The sequence below is a fragment of the Homo sapiens genome, chromosome X (assembly GCF_000001405.40).
Source record: "Homo sapiens chromosome X, GRCh38.p14 Primary Assembly".
Classification (NCBI taxonomy): Eukaryota; Metazoa; Chordata; class Mammalia; order Primates; family Hominidae; genus Homo; species Homo sapiens.
The window spans coordinates 102,879,964-102,902,542 of record NC_000023.11 but is presented as its reverse complement, the minus strand read 5'-3'; the positions used below and the strand labels follow the sequence as shown (position 1 = coordinate 102,902,542).

The 22,579-nt window shown below is 39.5% G+C and overlaps 1 protein-coding gene and 1 long non-coding RNA gene across 9 annotated transcripts in view; both read right to left on the bottom strand.

The window, feature by feature from the left end:
• ARMCX5-GPRASP2 (ARMCX5-GPRASP2 readthrough) overlaps nt 1-22,579 on the bottom strand; it is a 308,717-nt gene that overhangs the window by 5,522 nt on the left and 280,616 nt on the right. Inside the window, exons 14-18 of one of the 2 annotated variants that reach the window (NR_146584.3) lie at nt 17,735-18,400; nt 4,779-4,969; nt 1,711-1,793; nt 1,410-1,520; nt 772-912 (exon numbers count right to left, since the gene is read on the bottom strand). The gene's annotated coding sequence lies outside the window, so the exon portion shown is untranslated. Of the gene's footprint in view, nt 1-771; nt 913-1,409; nt 1,521-1,710; nt 1,794-4,778; nt 4,970-15,771; nt 18,401-22,579 lie in introns of those variants that run through there. The other variant, NR_146587.2, reaches the window with a different exon arrangement.
• LINC00630 (long intergenic non-protein coding RNA 630) overlaps nt 1-22,579 on the bottom strand; it is a 195,371-nt gene that overhangs the window by 61,981 nt on the left and 110,811 nt on the right. For 4 of the 7 annotated variants that reach the window (NR_038988.2, NR_146592.1, NR_146590.1 and 1 more), the window contains one exon: nt 15,772-18,400. This is a non-coding gene — a long non-coding RNA (long intergenic non-protein coding RNA 630). Of the gene's footprint in view, nt 1-771; nt 913-1,409; nt 1,521-1,710; nt 1,794-4,778; nt 4,970-15,771; nt 18,401-22,579 lie in introns of those variants that run through there. The other 3 variants (NR_146589.1, NR_146593.1, NR_146591.1) reach the window with 2 other exon arrangements.

Genomic DNA, 22,579 nt, shown 5'->3' with positions numbered 1-22,579 from the left:
GGGGCTGCCCAATTCATGAATTGTTCATTGCTCAAAGTCCTTTAAATTTAATTTGGCTGAAGTTTTTCTTTTATCATCAGTATTCCTATCCTTACTGAAATTTACATCATGCTATTTTAATTGTTTTTTTATACATGTATATAAGCAAATGTAATGGATATACATACATTACATTTTATATAACTGTTATACTATATATGGAGCTTGGTATTCTGGGTTTTTATTCTCATTTCTACTTTTATCTGAACTTTTATACAAGGTAGTAATATGTGGATGAGTCATTCTGATTAAATTACAAGATATATAATCTAACTTTACCTTTTAATGAACCAGCTGACCCAACCCCAATTTTCAAACAATGCATCTGATTGGAAATGCCATATCTATATTGCATATTAAATGTAATATATATATGGGTCTGTTCATGAGCTTTCTATAGACATCCTTTAATCTGTATGTCAGACTCCATCAGTTATAAAAGCAAAGTTTCACGGAACATTGCAATACCCGACAGTGTAATCCTGACTCCTATCATTCACCCTTTGGATGAATGGTGTAATAATAATAAAATAAAATAAACAATAATAAAAATGCCAACAATTATAGGATACATAATAAATTATTTGCTCCAGATTATGCAACCATCAAGTGAATAGTTCCCAGACTCAAATCCAAGTCCTTCTCACCCCAAAGCCCACACAGCTAACCACTGTTCCTATATTAAATGTCCTTCTGTGGTAGACTAGAGGCCAAAAAAAGAACAGGACTCACCCCAGGTCCCATGGTCAGTTTACTGGTCTGGCAACTAGGATATAGGTTCAATGACCCCCATCTTCTGTCCAGCTATTATTCTTTGCTCTTCTTTAATTTTCCTTCTTCCTGGGGCTCAATAAATTCATTCATCATGTCACACTAGAATGAAAATAGGAGACCAGAAAGTACATGGAATCAAAAGAATAATGAGATAGAACCAACATTCACTGCTTGTCGCCATGTTTCCAGATCCTCTCGTTTCAAATCTTTTATTTTATGCAGCACAGATATTTTCTTCCGGGGCCAGCAATCTCTCTTCTAAGAATGTACCCCCAAAGATAAAATTTAAAAAGACAAAAGGCATAAACACAAGGCAATTCATGGTAGAACAATTTGTAACAGGACAAGACTAGAAATGAGACAGATGTCCACCAATAAGGAATTGATTGAATAATCTAAGGTACATCTACATCCCAGAGTTCTATGGAGGTAAAATAAGCAATGAGAATTCCCCCTTCTACTCCTTTGTAATGATTTCCAGCATAAATTGTTAAGTGAAGAAAGAAAGGTACAGAAAAATGTGTTGAGCCACTGCTGTCCAATATAGTAGGCATTGTCCACATATAGCCATTTAAATTTAAGTTGATTAAACTTACATGAAACTAAAAGTTCAGTTCCTCAGTCACATTCATCACGTTTCGGGTGTTCAACTGCCACAGTTGCCATTAGCTATTGTGTTGAACAACGTAGACAGTATATTTTCATCTCTACAGAAATTAAAATGATTTTTCTGTTATTCTCACATACAGCTCTCTATTCAGCATATAAAGAGGCTGGAATATCTATTGGCCTTCTATATCCCTTTAACCTGGAATGTCTCCTTTTCAACCCAGAGTTTCAGAACGCTCTATAGGGTGTGCATGGGCCAGAGCCCCTCCCTCCCACCTTCCTGCTCACCGATGTTCAAGCTGTAGTTCAAGCTTCTGTCACGAGGGGGCACCATTGTACCACCATTATAGAACTCTTCTGCAAAGACGTGTCTGCAAGGAGCAAAAAATACTTCTCTTAAACCACAGCTTATAAGCCTAAGTGCAGAATGATTCATTCTAATTCTGTCAAAGGAAAAAAAAACTGGTAAGTGTAAAAGAAGACTGCAAATACATATACTGTGGGGCATCCATAGGATGAAACACCAGGTAGGTCTAACACTCCTTGGCTGTTGCTGGAAGACAGAATCTTAAGTGAGCATCAGGGCAGGTGAGAGGTGACTGAGAGAGGATGACGGCACAAGGGGCAGGTCTGGGCAGCTGTGCCCCTGGAGAGGGGATGAGTGGGAGGCAGTGGTAGAAGGACCAGGAAGCCTATACAGGGGTGGGGTAATGGAGAGTGAACGAACGCCCTGCTCTCTGGAAGGGACCCTCCTACAATGTGGAAACCTCTACCAACAGAGAAGGGAAGAGATGAATCAATGAATGCGATGTAGATTTGGGGACGACAGCAAATGGAACTGCTTTAATATACACGCGAATACTCCAAACAACTGGTATTTCAGTGAACAAACCATGTTATAACATCTGTTACTGTTTGTTAGATGTACTCCTTTTCCTTAAAAAAGAACAAATGTGAAGATGGCTGCGATGTCTCCTAGTGGCCAGAGCCAGGATTGCAACTCTGAGAGCTGACTGGTGAGTTCAGCAGGGGAAAGGGAGGGATGGAGGTTGGGAGGTTGATTAATGTGATCAGCCAGTTTTCTGGAATTTTTTACGTACCTACAGGAATCCCTCTGTATCCATCATTTTTCTGGGTTATAAAAAAGTACGTTTTCGGGGATATCTAAATCTGATATTGGAAGTACAGCATCAGTCTGAACTGGGGATAATGCTGCAATTGTGAACTGTATTTGAGGTGGTAGAGCTAGAGGAGCTAGAACACACACACACACACACTTGCGTGTGAGTCAATTCATTTTTTAAAAATCTACTTTATTTCCCCAGGAAATTGAATAAATGAATGCCTGAAGTAAGGAATATATGTGTACCATACTCTTGTCAATATGTTCACAGCATATTGTTTTTAATATTTCATCAAAATACTTTTTCCTGAATATAAAATGTAAAACAATATATAAAAACACATATATGAATTGAAATTAACCTGTATCTCTCACTGGAGCAGCTCCTAATCCCTGACCCCTAGTTGTCTGCTGTCCACAGAATGGTGCATACTGTGAAATGTGTCTCCACAAGTGAGATGCACACAAATATGTTCACCTACACACACACAGTCTGTTCCAAAGGTCGAATCACATCCTTATCTTCTTTTGCAACCTATTTTTTCCACTTTTCTTCTCAGGATTTATATTTACATCTTATTAGTTTTTGTGGTTTTGGCATAGTTAATGTGTTTATTGTTCATGTATCTAACTATTTGACTTCTCCACTGAAATTATTTGCCAAGCTCTTTGTTAGTGTGCTTCACAAAGCATGAATTCTAATCCAGTATCTCAGCTCTAGTTTGTACGGATTTTTCCAGAGTTTTTACGCTATTCTTAGTTTTTTTTAATTTAGAATTTTTCAATTTAAATTATCTTCTGACTTAAAACCACATGGATCACAATTTTTAAAAAAATGTTAAACTGCCTTGGAACATGTAATGGCAGTGCCCAAGGAGATTAGATCATTCCCGAGACCAGGAGGCACAGAGACAAACTGGAGAAAACTTTAGAATAATTCAGAATTACCTGCTAATCGAGACACAACAAAGGTATTTCCCTGATGTACAGAAACTTGCCTAAAGTACCCTGATCTGAATAATGGTCATAATTCAGTGGGTATTCTTGTGGGTAACTTGAATAGCTGTTGACATTAAAGAAGATGAAATACAGAGTGCATTTGCCTAAAGGAGTTGCGATGGTTAACACTGAGTGTAAACTTGATTGGATTGAAGGATACAAAGTATTAATCCCGGTTGTGTCTGTGTGGGTGTTGCCAAAAGAGATTAACATTTGAGTCAGTGGGCTGGGAAAGGCAGATCCACCCTTAATCTGGTGGGCACAATCTAATCAGCTTCCAGCAAATATAAAGCAGGCAGAAAAATGTGAAAAAGAGAGACGGGCCTAGCCTCCCAGCCTACATCTTTCTCCCGTGCTGGATGCTTCCTGCCCTCAAACATTGGACTCAAAGTTCTTCAGTTTTGGGACTCGGACTGACTCTCCTTGTTCCTCAGCTTGCAGACAGCCTATTGTGGGACCCTGTGACTGTGTAAGTTAATACTTAATAAACTCATATATATATACACACACATATATATGCTCACCTGTCTCAAGTACAACACTTGAGTTTCTGCCTGAGCCCACTCACCACTTCAGGCATCAGCCAACTCATGTGTCCCTACACACAGGTCTCTTGGCACAAAGAATGGGATCTCACCTCTGTCATCTTCACCCAGAAAAGTTGTTGAGTAAAGACTCATGGGGTTACAATAGCAGGTGGGTGAAATCTCACCATTTCTCAAGCCCAGAAACCCATCTTCTAAAAGGGAGGCTGCTCAGGGTACTCTAGGGAGGGTGAGGGATGGAATTTCATTCAAACCCTGCCACTTACCTGAAGAGGTGACTTAGGCTCTGTGAGCCTGAGGTTAGTCATCTGTGAAATGGGACTGACCATACCATCCTTACATAGCTGTCTGATGGGTATATGAGGAAACCTCTTGAGAGTATATGGCATGGGGTGGGACTTAAATGGCCTTTAAATGGGACACAGCACTAGGGGCTGGCTGAGCCTCAGTGCTAAGGCAGGCATTGTGAAAAATCATTTCTCATTGCTCCCCCTTATGAGAACACAGACATCTATTTGAAGAAAGCAAATGTCCCTGTGACATGCCTTGAGTTCAAAGTTTTGTAGACAGTAGTTTCTCTGCTTCGTGGGTGTTATCAGAAGCTCGTAAGAGCTGCCCAACATCATGCTTCTGAGATGACCCAAATTTAGTTCCCCACACTGGGAAGACAGGCATGTCTTTGAACTTACCTGCTGAGCTCAGAGACAGCAGCAGGGATGCAAGGTTTGGTGTTCGCCCAGTGGCTGCTCCTAGACTACTTGGTATGTTAATATATTTATTGGTATATTCTAGATCTGTCCCAAAATCACCAGTGCAGGGGTTTTCAGATCATGCATTAACCAGCCACATCGGATCAGAATTTCAGCCATCTGCTGCCTCCCTGAGAGACAAAAATCCAAGAGTTACTAGCATTTCTTCACACACAATGTCTATTCTTTCATTAGGTAATAACTAAATACCTATTGAGCTCAAACCCATTCTATTCCATCAGAGGTATCTCATGAGCTCCAATGTGATATAAAAGCATAAGGGAAATAAACATGTGGTCAACTTCAAGGGTTAATTCTGAGATAGCTTTTTTTTCACATTAGCTTTTAACTTGGTCAAGTTTCAAGAAATTGAAGATTTAAAAAAAAAATCTCTCCTTGGACCCCCTTATCACCCATTCAGCTACAGGATACAGTTCTCCCTGTCTCTGTCTCTCCCTCCCTTATCCTTCTTCTCCTTCATATTCGAAGTACCAAAAAGAGTTTTCTACATGCTCTGTTAACATTTTTCACTTCCCACTCATCATCCCACTGCCCTATGGCTTCTGTCTCTGGGATTGCCATGAACATTCTCTCCAAAGTCATAATCCACCCATTTCTTACTAGGTCCAGGTTTTGTATAAATACACTAACATAGGGCATATTACTTTTAATGAGCTCCTAAAGTATGTATGCTTGCAGACTGCTTCTTTCACCTAACAACAGAGCTTTCACAGTTTCCCAGGCTCTAGAGCATGATGCACTGGACATAAGTCCAAGCTGTCCCACTCCTTAACTGTTCAGTCTTAGGCAAAGTCATTATCCTCTCTGTCCCTCAGTTTTCCATTTGTAAAATTGAATTCTGCAATAGTATTTAACTCATAAGTGTGTTCTGGGCACTGAATGATCCAATACATTAAAAGCATATAGTACCTACGAAATGTTGGCACTTTTAAATACTTTTCACATGTCTTACTGGCATTCGTATCCCTGTAGCCATGAAAAAAAATTAGGGTATTGACCAATGTTTATTCATAATCAATGACATTTGGGGTATGATGTTTGTACATGTAATAGTTTCCTAGGGCCACCATAACAAATTATCATAAACTTTGCATATTTAAACAACAGCAATTTATTATGCCATGATTCCGATGTACAAAACCAAAGCCTGAAGTACAAAATCAAGGTGTAGGCAGGACTGCACTGCCTCCAAAGCCTTTAGGGGAGAATCCTTTCTTAGCTCTTCCAGCTTCTTGTGGCTCCTGCTTTATTTGATTTGAGGTGGCATAACTCAATCTCTGCCTCAATATTCACATGGCCTTCTTCCCTGGATGTGTCAAATCTCCCTCTGCTTTCTTTTATATAGATACCAGTCATTGGAGTTAGGCATCAACCTACATTCAGGATATTCCCTTCTGGAGATCTTTCACTTCATTATGTCTACATAGAACCTATTTCCAAATAAAGTTTGTGTGGGTTAGGATTGGGACATGTTTTGAGGGGGACACAATTCTACCCACTACAGTTAAATAAGCAAGTTACACTACTAAATGGAAGATAAAGTATCTTCTGTATGTACATGGACTGGCTGATCTCTGAGATGTTGAACTAGACCAAGCTGTGGCCCTTTGGAAAGGGAACCTGGATGGTAGTCTATTAACAGGTACACAACTACTATATAAAGGGTATTTTATATTTCATCTCATTTTGATTTCAACAATTCTATCCAGTACCAATAATTATGCCCATTAGTTGGATCAGGGAACACAAATTAAAAGACTGGTAACTTGATCTAGGGAAACTACCTTATAAACTATTGTTCCAGGATTCTAAACCTAGAATTATTCAAAACATTTTTTCCCTTCTGTCCTGTCAGCTAACATTTGATATAACTTCAAGCATATATATATATATATATATATTTTTTTTTTTTTTTTTTTGAGATGGAGTCTTGCTCTGTCACCCAGGCTGGAGTGCAGTGGCATGATCTTGGCTTATTGCAGCCTCTTCCTCCCAGGTTCAAGCGATTCTCCTGCCTCAGCCTCCTGAGTAGCTGGGACTACAGGTGTGCATCACCAAGCCCAGATAATTTTTTGTATTTTTAATAGAGATGGGGTTTCCTGATGTTGGCCAGGCTAGTCTCAAACTCCTGACCTCAAGTGATCTGCCCATGTCGGCCCCCCAAAGTGCTGGGATTACAGGTGTGAGCCACTGCACCCAGCCTTAAAGCATTATTATTGTTGAGTTGTTCTTTCGAAAACAATGTGCTGAAGTGCTTTTTAAATAGTAAAAAATTATAAAGTATAGAATTGTATCTGTATAGCCAAAATAGAAAATAAAAAGAAATATAAAAATTTGGGAGAAATTATTTCTAACCCATATTCAATCATGCTTTATATCCTCCAAATATGAAATATTCATGAACAAGAGAAGTAAGCCAATCATATCAAGAGACAATATATAAATCTCAGAAAAATGATATAAATTCCAACACTTGGGAATACACCAAAACAAAAAATATGAAACAGAATCATATTTAGTCAACCAGTTAAGTCATAAATTATAATGTAGTGCATGGATTTATGTAAAATAATTTATATAGATAGATTAACATGGATTTAGAGGTGTGTGTGTCAATAAAAGTAAGTTAGTATACTACATGCAGAGAAAAACATCCGAAGAGTACATACCAATAAATTAAGAGAAACTATCTTTGTATTATGGAGAAGGAGAAGGTGTGACAGATAGAAAATATTTTTAATATGTAATATACATTTCGATTATATTTGATAAAGCTTAAACAATGAAAATAATTAACTGATAATGTGATAAAGTTATTGAGATTCTGTTCTGTAAATCAGAAAACTCTGTGACCCTAGTCACAAAATTATAGTGTAGAAATGCATTTATTAAGAATCATGTTCATATGCTGCTGTGTGAAAATAGTACATTAAAAAATTCTATTTCATAAATCAGTGTGTGCACATTGTAGGGAGACAGGATTCTTTTATTTTATAAATGTGCAATTCTCTAGTGTTTTAAATTTAGAAACCTTATTGTACAAAATGTGGAAAACAAAAAGTTGTGAAATTACAAATATGATGCTCTTATATTCATTGCTTTGGAAACATGTTCACATTATACTGTTTTATGCGTAAGACAAGTAGGTCAAAACTATTTATTTGACAGTGTGTTTGTATGTTTCAGTGTGGGTATCTGCATGTTGTTTGTATCTCAGTCTTCTTCACAACAATTATACACACACAAACTCTTGCAGCTTTCTATTCAGTTCGCAGATAGAGAGTAAGGATAAGGTCACCCTTGTGTTGGTTTCATCCTTGGTTCTCCTCATGAGTAAGGGACTACATGCTTACTTTCTCTTTTAGCCCTTCACTATATCAGAGTTGTGGATTTCTGGTTTTGTGCTTGTCTTTTCCCTAGGAGAGAAGTCCCTCCCATTTGGTCTTCTAGCTGACATGGAGTTTCTGCTTTATGCAAGACTGCCTCTCCCATTTGAGGGATGTGGACCCAGATCCACAAAAGACTGAAAAGAGTAGAGACTGAATTGTCAAAGACAAGCACAGGAGTAGGACTCCTATCCAAATATCTAATTCTCCTGATTTAGTGAGATGGCTTTCATGAACTTCTCACATGATGTTCTCCTCCCCTCAGCATTCCTCTTACTCTGTGGGGAAATAGGAATTCTCATACATTGCTAGAAGTAATGTTAAATGGTACAATCCCTGTTGGGGGGGGGTTGATGCTATCTATAAAAATACATTGGTATTTACTCTTGGAAACAGCAATCCCTCTTCTAAAAATCCATCCCAAAGAAACACTGCAAAAAAGATAAAAGGCATATACACAAGGCCATTTATGGTAGAAAATTCCTAACAGAATAGTAGTAATATGACAGATGCCCAGTATAGGGCCAACTAAATAATCTAAGGTACAACTACACCCTAGAGTACTATGCAAGTATAAAAAGCAAGGAGGACTCCCTCTCTATACTGCTATGACTAATGTCCACGGCACATTGTGAAATAAAAAGCAAGAAGAAGAAGAAGAAGAAAAAAAGTATAGAGCAGCAGTGTCCAATACAGTAGCCACTACTGACACGTGGCAACTTAAATTAAATTACAAACTCAGTTTCTCAGTCTCACTCATCACGTTTCACATGCTCAATAACCACAGCTAGCTAGTGGCTACTGTGTTATACAGTTTAGATACAGAACATTTTCAGTTCTGGATAAATTTTTACTGAGGAGGTAATATAATAAATAATATACATATTGTATTTGCTTATATTTTTTAGAACGAGGGTAATAACAAAAACTAATAAAATGATTACCTACCATAAGACAGAGAAGCAGCCCAGGATAAAAGCAGATGACATTTATCTCTTACAAAGGATACACATTTTCCTGGTTAAACACACTGGAGAGGACAAAAAACAATGACCAACCCAGTAGCAATGAGCAACCAAAAGTACTCAGACTGAATCCAAAAAACGAAACACAAACAGAACAAGCTCACTGCTTACCTTTGGAAACTCCTAAGGAAACAAGTCACTGTTTTGAAAAGTGGAAATACTGCAAAAGAACTAAACATTCATCCTACCTTCCCTGTGTATACCATATCTCAGTATAATCTAATAGGTCAGAGGAAGTTTTCTTTATACATGAATTCCAGCTGGTGAAGGCAGAAGAAATCAGAATTACAATGTCACCCTTTTTGTAACATTTAATGAAATGCAGATACAGGTAAGAATATTCAGAGACTGCAAAAAAACATGAAGTAAAGGTGAATAGGGAAATTTTATAAAGAATAGATCAGGCTGACAACACCTGAACCCAGTGATTAATTTCAACATCACAGGAGAGACAACCAGATCCAATGAGCCTCCTAGTATAACATTGTAAGAATAAACACCACCTCACCTGAGATATTCAAGCCAAAAAACTTGAATCTGAACAAGCATCTAAATCTAATTACCAATTTAAAGGACATAAGAGTGGCCAGATGAACTTAATAAACAACAAAATAAGGACACAATCAGCAATATCCAGAATGCAAACTCCACAGGATAACAATCCAATTTCTTAAGCAAATAAATAAGGTTTTTAAAAAGAGTACAGACCTTCTTTGACTAAAAGAGACTTAAAACTTCAGAGAGAACTAAATTAAGGAGAAACTGATATTAAAACCACAATGAGATACTGCTACACACCCACCAAAAGAAAAAAACAAAAAAGATGGAAAACACTAAGTGCTGGCAAGGATGTGGAGCAGTGGAACTCTTACACACTGTTGATGGGGATACAGATTGGAAAAACCACTTTGAAAAATGGGCAGTATCCACTGAGCTGAACATACATATACCCTGTGACTCAGAAATGTCAGTCCTTGGCACATGCCCAAGAGAAATGAAAATAAATGTCTATCCAAACATATGTATAAGATCATTCATAACACCATTATTCATAAGTCAAACACTGAAAAATATGTATCTCCAAAAGGGATACATATATTGTGAAATATCCGAACAATGCAATGCCATCCATCAATGAGAATGAACAATCTACAACTATAGACAACAATAATGGAAATCACACAGACATTATGCTGATTGAAAGAAGCCAGACACAAAAGACTGTATGCTGTATGATTCCAGGCATTTTTCTTCTAATGTCCCAATGGATTTTGGGAAAGGAAAGGAAAATCATTATCCCATTTCCATTTATTTGAAGGTATTCTATGTCTTCCTATATTACCTGCAAGTTAACCTCAGAGAAGCATGTATCCTCTGAACCCTTGAAAAGTGATTCACTATACATAAGAAAAATGCTAATGCCAGGTCTGAGAACAGATAACTGTGTGAGACAGGAGATGTACCTGTGCCCAGTGCCAGCCCTAATCCATAAACTCTAGGTGACCTTGAGTAAATTACCACACCTTATCTGCGTCACCAATCAATGGTGGTCTGATCAGGCCTGTCTCCAAACCAAAGAAACTTAAAACACTGGACAAAGTGACTTCCACCTGGAAAAGCACTACGAATTCCTAAAAAGGAAGATAATTCATCTTTGAATTCCAAGGAATTATTTGAATAGCCAAGTTGTCTAATGCATATTATGATGATTAATGTATTTTTGAAATAATTTCTTTTGGTTTTACAGTTATTACCTTTTTACATTTTCTTAAATAGATATCATCTTGGTACATGGCACAAAAGCTACTGAAAGATACTTTCCAACCAAAGACATACATGAACCACCATGGGCTGACATGGCTTTTTCTTCTCCATAATTGTACTGGTTAGGAGTGTGGGATCTGGAGACGGACTAGGGACAAGCCCTACTTTCTGTAACCTATGTGACTTCGAATACTTTTGCTTCACCTTACAGTCACTCAAATGCCTCATCAGTAGACTGGGATTATGCAATACTTACCAAAGAAGACAAATCATTTTTTAAACGAATACTGCTTTGTGTTTTGGTTTTACAAGGATAAACAGCCAAGAATTCGATTATTTAAAAAATTATACTACAGAGAAATTGGGATACCTGGCTCTCTGTGACGTTGGGAGAGTGAAAGAACCACTCTGTACTTCAATTTCGTTTTTCTGTAAACTGGGGCAAGCAACTGTCCCTACCTCATGAGTTGTTGCTTTGAGAATTACTTGAGTTAATACATGCAAACTCTTAGACCAGTAGTAGGAACACAGTAACTGCTCATTAAATGTGAATTTGCATATTGAGATTTTTCAAGTTTTAAAAGTTTAATAGTTTTCATGTTACTTAAATAAAGCATTATAGTCTTACAATTGAATCTTAATTATCAACTGATACATTTTTTAAATTACTAACTTTCACGACTAACCCACATCTGGATGACCTAACTAATTAACTTGAGACTATCTCAAAAGCACTTGGAAGGATTGATCTCAGAAAACAGCACCATCATTTCTCCATCTGGCTGAACAAAAAGACCTGGGGTCCTCCTCCACTCTGCCTTATCCCCCACACCCTACCTGCACAGGTACTGCAAGTCCTACCTGCCCTACCTCCAAATACCCTCTGTTGAGGTCCACCCACCCCACCCCCACCTCTGCACACAGCTGCAGCCCTGATCCCATCTACCTCCACCTCTTCCCTGGACTTCTACAATATTCTCCCAATGGTTATCCTCCCTCCATACCTTGTCCCTTTCCAGTCCATTCTCCACAAAGCAGCCAGAGTCACCTTCTGACAACAAGAATCAGACCATGTCACTCCCATACTCTAATCTTGACACTCACAATACAATTATCCAAACTCCTTACAGGGCCCAAACCATGTGGCTCCTGTCTACCCTTCAACTTCATCTCCCACCAGATTGCACACTGTCTGCTAGGCTCCAGCCACTCTAGCTTGTCCTCTGTTCCTGGATCAATGGTGTCCACACACAACATAGGGACACTGACAAAACGGCCTCTCCATGCCTGGCTTCTTCCTATCATTCAAGACTCAGGTCAAGTATCACTTCCTGAGAAAGAGTACACCGACAACCCCATCTATAATAATCCTTATGTTGATCCTTCTCTACTTTATTTAGTTATGCTTATTTTCTTCAAAGAGCATATCCTCATATGAAATCACATGCTTGCTGATTTATTTACCTGCTTATTGTCAGTTTTTCCAGACTAGAATGATAGCTCCTGGGAACCCCTGCCTGTCTTGTTTTCTGTGATGTTTCCCCGGTGCCTAGACCAGAGCTTCACACATAAATCATTGAGTATTACTGAATTGAAGGAATTGTTACATATTGGACACACCAGAGATCACACGGATATTTAAAACTGAGTAGCATGAGCAACTAACAATGAAATTAGACATCAAAGGATTCAAATTTTCATGGGCCTTGTTGCCAATCCACAGCAGTGCTTTTCAAACACTGATGAATACCAGAAACAACTAAAGAAATTACTCAAAATGGGCCGGGCACGGTGGCTCACGCCTGTAATCCCAGCACTTTGGGGGGCTAAGGCAGGCGGATCATGAGGTCAGGAGATCGAGACCATCCTGGCTAACACAGTGAAACCCCGTCTCTACTAAAAATACAAAAAATAGCCGGGTGTGGTGGTGGGCGCCTGTAGTCCCAGCTACTCGGGAGGCTGAGGCAGGAGAATGGCATGAACCCGGGAGGCAGAGCATGCAGTGAGCCGAGATCGCGCCATTGCACTCCAGCCTGGGTGACAGAGCGAGACTCCGTCTCAAAAAAAAAAAAAAAAAAAAAAAATTACTGAAAACGTAGACACTTCTCACCCCACCTCCCTGGTTTTGATTCTGTAGATCTAGGATGGGCCCAAGTATCTGCAATTTTAACAAGCAACCCTTGATGAATTTGATAAAGTGGTCCATGGAGCACACTTGGAAAAATTCTAGACCTAAACAGTTCATATTTAAGTATAATTAATGCCTCCATGCAGAGTTCTGGAACATCTGAAGTGTCTCTGTAAATGTAATTACTTGAAAGTTTACTGGCTCTTCCATTCCACCTGACCACTGATGGCTTTTTCACATGGGATCACACTTAAACTCCAGAGTATTCCAGGTAGTCTGGAGGATTGGGAATTGTTATCCTGCCATATGGGCGAGGCTGGTGGAAGGGTAGTGACTCACCTAAAGTGTCCCAGTGATGAGACCCTGATCTTTTCACTCTTGCTCCAGTAACCTGTCTAGCAGACTCCACAACAAACTTGGTTCTTCTCTATCAGCTCCTGGTTCTGAGATGCAGAGTCCACACCCTTCTCTGATGTTGCATTAGAAGGGAGATTAAGAAGATAAGAAAGCACATGGAATAGAGAGGAAAGTAAGAGGATGGGAAAGCACATGAAACACAGGGGATGGGATGATGATGTCTGGCCTGTCCCCACTCAGTTAACTGGAAGCTGTGCAATGACACTTTTCCTCTTCCCCAGCTCCATCCTACCACCCCCTGCTACACACAACAGTGACACTGAAGCTCACACATAATAGAAATGTGGGCTTATCTGTGCTTGCTGTTACATTTCCAAGTATTCACCCTAGTAGTCATGCTATTACATTAATGTCAGAGACATCACATTGGCATAGTGAAGGAGGCAATGTTAGAATGAAGAACATTTGCTGATGGCCTACAAGACACCACAAGCTTTAGGTTGTTATTTTCAGACACTTTCTATTCAAAGCCTCAAAGCTATGCTCTGAGGTGAGTATCATTACTTCCTTTCCACAGATGGGAATACAGTCAGGCTCAGAGAGCAAAATACATGCTCAAAGAATTCTAGGGAGGTGTCAAGCAAACACTGAGACCAACTTCAAGATCCTTCCACTGGCCAATTCTGGAAAAATGTGAGCATCAAAGCACAGAATGATAGTAATAGAGTGTAACCCTTTGAAAAAAAAATAGGAATCTCACAGTCACATTGATATAAATAAAAACATGAATAAGTACATTAATAAATAATGAGGCCAGGCACAGTGGCTCATACCTGTAATCCCAGGACTTTGGGAGGCCAAGGCAGGTGGATTTCTTGAGCCCAGGAGTTCAAGACTAGCCTGAGCAACATAGTGAAACCCCCATCTCTACTAAAAATACAAAAAATTAGCTGGGTGTGGTGGGATGTACCTGTAGTTCCAGCTACTTGGGAGGCTGAGGTGAGAGGATCGTTTGAGCCTGGGAAGTCGAGACTGCAGTGAGCCAAGATCAAGCCACTGCACTCCAGCCTGGGCAACAGAGAGAGACACGAAGGAAGCAGGGAAGGGAAGGGAAAGGGAAAGGGAAAGGGGAAGGGGAAGTAAAAGGGAAAGAGGAAGGGGAAGGGAAAGGGGAAGGGAAAGGGAAGGGAGGAAGGTGGGAAGGGAAGAAGGTGGGAAGGAAGGAGGGAAGGAGGGAGGGAGGGAGGGAAGGAAAGAGGGAAGGAGGGAGGGAGGGAAAGAGAAATCTCTACACTCAAGTGCTTAGTAATAATTCATGAAGGAATAACAGAATTAGAAAAGCAACATTTGACAACTCTCATAGTTGTAAGTGATTCAGGTAAAAATCATAAATGCTCAGTTTGTACCAGCAAATCCCACAGTGGTCACTGAGTCATCATGGTAACCATGCTTGCCCAAAAAAGCTGGGAAAAAAATGAATGACCACCCTGATCTTATTCCTAATATATGCTTGGAACTGAATAGGACTCACATGATGCACGGTAATTAACCTCAACTATCCCTTACAATAAACATTCCTGGCAGCTTCAGTGATATATACATTCATAATACATACATACCCACATACATACATACTTGATCTCTCTCACCATCCCAGATCCCAGGAATTCATTGATGTAGATTTACTGAGTGGGTGGGTGGGCAGATAAAAAATTAAAACCTGGCCAGGCGTGGTGGCTTATGCCTGTAATCTCGACATTTTGGGAGGCTGAGGTGGGAGGGTCACTTGAGCCCAGGAGTTTGACATCAGCCTGGGAAACATGAGACTCTGTCTCTACAAAAAAAAAGTAAACAATAAGTTAGTCAGGTGTGGTGGTGTGCACCTGGAGTCCCAGCTTCTCGAGAGGCTGAGGCGGGAGGATTGCTTGAACTCAGGAGGTTAAGGCTGCTGTGAGCTATGATTGTACTACTTTACTCTAGCCTGGGCAACAAAGCAAGATGCTGTCAAAACAAAAAACAAAAAACAAAAAAACCCAAAAAAAACACCACCACCACAACCACCACCATCACCAACAAAAAACAGCAAACCTCGCATTTCAACAGATTTATTTTAAGCACACATATAAAATTGAAATCTACTGAACTATGCTCTTTTAATGATTAATTTTTCTGGAGAATATCTCTGAGACATCTTTCAAATACTTTTTCCATCAAAAAGTGGCCCGTGCTTTCAATCAAAAAAAAAAAAAACTTGAGCTATTATTATTTGGCTGCTGAGAAAATATAATAATTCAGAGAAAATATAGTAATTAGGCATTGTATTTAAAAATAATGCCATTTACAGTAGCTTCAAAAAGTATGAAATATTTATGGATAATCTGTCCACAATTGTATAACACCTGCATACTGAACATTACAAAACATTGCTGAGAGGATTAAAGGAGACTTAAATAAATGGGGAATATACTGTGTTCATGGATGAGAAGACTCAGTATTGTTAAGATATTAATTCTCCCCGATCTCATCTATAAATTTAATGCAAACTGAATAAAAAATTTTACCAAAGTTTTAAAAAGGGAATTGATAGGCTGATTCTAAAATTCATGTGAAAATTTAATGGATCTAGCTGATAAAAACAACTTTGAATAAAAGGTCAAAGTCAGAGAACAAACACTACCTGACTTCAAGACTCTTTACAAATCTACAGTAATCAAGACTGTGCTGTTGGCATCAAGGTAGAAAAGCAGATCAAAGGAATAGAATAAGGAATCCAAAACCGACCAAACCTACATGGATAACTGTTTTTTTGACAAAGATGCAAAGGCAATTCAGTGGAGCAAAGATACTCTTTTCAACAAATTGTGCTGGGAGAAGTGGTTATCTATATTCACAAATACAAACAGTGATCCAAATATCATACTATATACAAAAGTCAACTCAAAGTGGATCATAGATATACATATAAAACCTAAAACTATAAGACTTCTACCAGAAAATACAGGAGAAAATCCTTGTGACTTTGGGTTAGGTAAAGACTTCATTAGTGAGACAAAACTACAATCTGTAGGTGAAGAAATCAATAAATTAGACTTCCCAAAAGTTAAAAACTTTGTTCTTCCAAAGATACTGTTGACAAGCCCTTGTCTGGAAGAAAATGTTTGGAAACCATTTATCTGGTAAAAGGCTTATATCCAGAATACAGAAAATCTCACAAAGCTCCTTAAGGAAAAAACAGACACTCCAATAAATAAATGGACAGAAGAGTTGAAAAGACACTCCACTATAGAAAATATACAGATGTCAAATAAGCATATGAAAAGATATTCAACATCATTAATAATTAGGGAAAGAAAATGAAAAGTACAGTGAGATACTATTACATTCCAGAAGAATGATCAAAATTTAAAAGACTGACCATACCAATCACTGGCAATTTTCTGGAAGCTGAAACCCTCATACGCTGCTCATTGGAATGAAAAATGGTACAACCACTTTGAAAACAGTTTGGCCATTTCTTACAATGTTAATCTTACCTCTACCACATGATCCAGAGATTGAACTCCTAAGTATTGACCCTTGAATGAGAATGCATATTTTCACAAAAAGACTTATTCACAAATGTTCATAGCAGCTTTATTTACAAGAGCCCCAAATGAGAAACAACCAAAATGTCCATCGACAAATGGATGGATAATAAAATGTTTAGTGTGGTTGTATACCGCAATAGTATTTAGCAATCAAAAAGAATGAAGTATATCAATAGATAAATGCAATAAAATGGATAAATATAAAAATAAGTGGAGTGAATGAAAAAAGCCAGGTGTTGATAAAAAAAAAAAAAAGAAACCACCTCTATGATTCCATTTAAATATATTTCCAGGCATGTAAAATAATGTATAGTGACAGGCATGCTGTGTTTACCTGGGGCAAGGCAGTGGGAAGGGTAGGTAGGCCAGGTACTACAGAACTGAAATTGTGATGTTTGTATTATTGGGAAATAATAACGGTATTCAGAACAATCTAGTTATGTTACTGGACATAGCTGGGTATCATTATAATAGGGCAAACTTACATTGTAATTACTAATTTTGAAAATGCCAAATTCTTGTACCTGACATTTTGATATTTTTAGGTAGCACTTAATTAATTTCTGGCTTCTTAGAAAATTTCATTATAGAATAGACAAAAACGTAGAAACCATGGAAGAATGCATACCGTAATCACAGATTGCTAGGAAGATCTTCTAACCTTCTAACTGTATACTTCAACATCCATCTGAGAAATTCATGGGCATCACTGACAACTATTCATACAGGCAGAAAATGTATGTAAATTTGTTGCAAATACATGTTAAACATGAAGTTCCCTCCTCAAGTGAACAACTCATTGCTTTACGATAAAGTAAGGCATCTCTTAGATGGGAATCCAGGTTACTAAAAAAAGTAGTTTCTCATCTTCCGGACTATGTTGTGAACCTCACAGGAGCTATTCCACAACGTACTTTTGTTCAGCTCTATGAACTCACTGGAATCAGGCATCACATCCCACCATGGAGGGAAGTGCCAGGGGTCTCCTGAGGACAGCTGCCCTTCAAATCTTGAGTAGAAGCTTCAGCACCCATCATGTCCCAGATCCTCAGAACGAACCTCCTTCAGACACTTAATATAAGTTCAGTCACATGCATGAAGAGTTGCACAGGGAGAAAGAGAATCCAGCCATTATTGTACATTCTTGGAGTAACTCTGTGCCTGGCACCATACGAGGCACTGGGTTAGTGATCAATGACACTGATAAAATTGGGTAGTGATCATATCCAGAAGGTACAATGGGTTTCTCACCAGAGCCTTTTTCTTCTTTCCTTATCTATCCCCAACAACAAATCTGAAAAGGAATAAAAAGATGCCTGAATTCACATACACATTCCTGATCCCACAATAACCACAGGGCTATGGTCGTGTACCTACTTTATCATAGTAAATTCCAGAAATTCTATGGGTGAGCATAATTATCCCCATTATACAGAAGGGGACACTAAGCTCAGTCTTTGCCTGTATCATCCTCTCACGCTCCTCCTTTACATGGGAAGTAGCTCTGAGACACTTTGGAGCAGGACATCACACTTCCCGGGGCCAGGAGGGGAAGTGTGGTGTCCTGTCACCAGACAGCAAGGGCACCGAGTCCCAAAGCAAGAACAAGGAGACTTGGCTGGGATCCTTTGTCTTCCCACACCCCGGGGCAGTTCAGCCCTACATCTTCAGTTGAGTCTCAAACACCTGAAGGCAACCCTGCTTTTTTCACCAGGCCATGTAAGTCTCTATTGAAAAGTCGTCACAGTCACCCTTATTATGTCTGGTTTCTATGGCAACCGAGATGTACAGGCTTGTCCTCCACTTCGGAAATGCTGCCTCCACACCACCCTCTGTCCTCTTGCCTTTCTCGGAAAGCAAAAAACCTTCACTCTTCAGACTACCGCCTGAGAAAGCTTACCAATAAAAGAAACTAGACTGGGACCCAGGCAGTTGGTGGAACTCTGCCTTATTTGATAAAGGACAGAAGTCCGTGTTGTTGGGAATTTTGTTTGCTTTAAAAGTGACCTTGAGGGAGTATTATCACTACATAGAGACCCAGGGCGGTATCCTAAGGCTCTAGACGATGAGCTAGCCCTGAGGGAGGGAACATGTACAACTCACACACCATGCTAGGCAGTTAGGTATCTGTGGCAGAAAACTGAGAGACTGTTTATAATCATATGACTAAACAACCTAGGGACACCAAAATATGTCATTTAAGATATCTCTAAGTTATTTCAGGGAATCAGGCTTAGAATAATATAGTCATTTAGTAGGCAAAAACCTAATCAATTCAATCATACAATGGTTTGTCTTGACAAAGTCTTTATCCCCCATCCCAATATTTTATTCCATGTGAATGGCCATTTGCAACCAAAACATTTCTAGTCTCTCTGCACACTCCTTTGGGAGGAGAAACATGCTGCTCAGCTGGAGTCCTTCCTTCAAAACTTTTGGTAGTAAGCTGCCTTTCAGAGGCACTCACTCTGCTCTGCCAACAGGAGGGGATCTTACAAGAGGCCCACAGGTCTATTCTTCTTTCTGTGTCTCACTGGCTCCCCAGTTATTCCTATGGTCTTGCTTTACAATGCTTGAATCTCTTTTTTTTTTTTTTCTTGAGACAGAATCTCACTCTTTCACCAGGCTGGTGTGCATTGGCGCGATCTCGGCTCACTGCAACTTCCGCCTCCTGGGTTCAAGCAATTCTCCTGTCTCAGCTTCCCAAGTAGTTGGGACTACAGGCGCGCACCACCATGCCCAGCTAATTTTTGTATTTTTAGTAGAGACAGGGTTTCACTATGTTGGCCAGGATGGTCTCGATCTCTTGACCTCGTGATCCACCTGCCTCAGCCTCCCAAAGTGCTGGGATTACAGGCATGAGCCACTGCGCCCAGCCTACAATGCTTGAATCTCTAACCTCCCCCACCCCCAGCCCCCACCAAGTACTCCACTGCTCCAAGTCTTAGCACTAAACCAAGATATATAATTTTAAAATTACATGGGCTTTATTTCTTATTAAGGTGATATTGGAGAATGTGACTTAGATTTGCTGTCACATGGGCTACGAATGAGCCCCAGAATTGACAGTATCCACAAAGCAGTGCTGCATTGGGACAGTCACAAATGCCAAGGATTGCAATGCATAATGGCCTGCTGTCTCCTGAAGGAGCCCTGTCTAGGTGTGTTCAAGAAAAGTGACTTTCTTGCCAAGGGTATTCCCTGTAGCAGGAGAAATGTGAAGAAATATCCCTTGTTTGGAATCGTTACTCACTAAGCCAACCTCTGAGGTTTTTTTATTTTTTATTTTTTTATTATTATACTTTAAGTTTTAGGGTACATGTGCACAGCATGCGGGTTTGTTACATATGTATACATGTGCCATGTTGGTGTGCTGCACCCATTAACTCGTCATTTAGCATTAGGTATATCACCTAATGCTATCCCTCCCCCCTCCCCCCACCCCACAACAGTCCCCGGTGTGTGATGTTCCCCTTCCTGTGTCCATGTGTTTTCATTGTTCAATTCCCACGTATAAGTGAGAACATGCGGTGTTTGGTTTTTTGTCCTTGCGATAGTTTGCTGAGAATGATGGTTTCCAGCTTCATCCATGTCCCTACAAAGGACATGAACTCATTTTTTATGGCTGCATAGTATGAAGTGGTTTGTAGCAACACACTCTCAACACCTTAATTTACGTGACTGTAGTAGAGGCTCATCTTACGGTATTAGGCTCCAAATTCCAATAGTAGTGGAAAATTTATACATTGTGAAAATTTCCATTGGAAATCTCTTCAAGTAGGAATCAATGATATGTCCACAAATCTCTATCCACATATAAACCAACACTCAGATTATAGTCAAAATTATAACTAAGTTCCACCAAGCCTTCAAGGATAAGAGAATCTCTTTCTTATTCAGTAACAGATCACAGAAAAAGAGGGAAAGCTCACCAAAACCCTAATGTTTTGCATATATATTTCTCCTTAACCATTGTCCCCCAAAATAGCCATCTATTATCGCTCAGGATTCTGTGTGTTGACTGGGCTGAGCTGGGCGTTTTCTGCTTCATGGGGTATCTGTCACCTGGGGATGCAGTCATATGGATGCTCCACACATCTGGGACATCCAAGAGGCTCACTCACATGGATGATGACTGGTACTGGTATCTCCAGCAAAGCTGGGGTTTTGCCTGGAACACTTTGGTTTGACACAGAGTCCTCCATGGGTAGGGTAGCCAGATAAAATAGAAGACACTCAGTTAAATTTAATTCCAGATAAATAATGAATAATATTTTAGTGTGTGATGGTTATATTTATATGTCAACTTGGCTGGGCTAAAGTACACAGATAGCTCATCAAACATTATTCTGGATGTTTCTTTGGTGTTTTTGAATGAGATTAAAATTTAAATTTCTGGATATTGTGTAAAGCAGATTACCATCTATACTGTGGGTAGGCCTCATCTAATCAACTGGAAGTCTGCATAGAAAAAAAAAGACTGACATCCCCTGAAGCAAAAGGAAGTGTGCTGGTAGATGGCCTTTGGAATTAAACTGCAACATTGGCTCTTCACTGGTCTGCAGTCTGCAAACACACCCTGCAAATTTGGGGACTTCCAACTACCATAATCATGCTAGCCAATTTCTGAAAATAAATCAGTCTCTCCCCAAACCCTCTATTTAGATAGATAGGTAGATAGATACATACATACATACACACACACATACTGTATTGGATATGTGACTCTGGATGTGGCATGCAATATTATTTTATTTGAATTCAACTGGGCATCTCATATTTTTATCTGCAAAATCTGGCAACCCTACGGTGTAGCCTTTGGATATGTAAGTTTTATTGACCTTCTGACATAATATTTCCAATGAGGCAAGTCTAAGGAAAATGAGCAGGTAAGACTGAAAAAAAGGACAAAAACCAGTAATACCTAGTGCTGGTGAAATAAAGGGGAGACAGACTTTCATATACACTATTGGTGCAACATTGATGTATACATTTTCTGAGGCCCATATTATTACAGCTTAATGACTTGAATGGCCTTTGTGCAGCAGTCCTATTTCTACCAACAAAGGAGTTTCAGCTGAGGGTTTAGAAAAGGCTCATCAAGGTGACTCTGATATGCATCCTGGTTAAGAAGCCCTGGACATGGAGGCAGGTCAAATTAATAGATGAGTTCCCTGCTCCAGGGAGGAAAGATAGCTTCCACTTACGGAGCAGAGCGTTTAGAGGAGCCTAGCTCCAGGTCCTTCTAGTGTCTGGATTTGATCTCATGACAGCCCTGCTACTGAGGTACCAGTATCCTCTCTTCTTCATGGATGTCTGCGACTACAAAGCACATGCTCCTAACCACAGAGCTGGATGGCAAAAATGTTGCTCAGCACGCCCATTGCCAGAGCCAGGCCCACTGCCAGAACCTGCCAGCTTGGGTACCTTGAGTTGCTGGTGGCAGATCTTTAGCATGAGGACATATACTGTT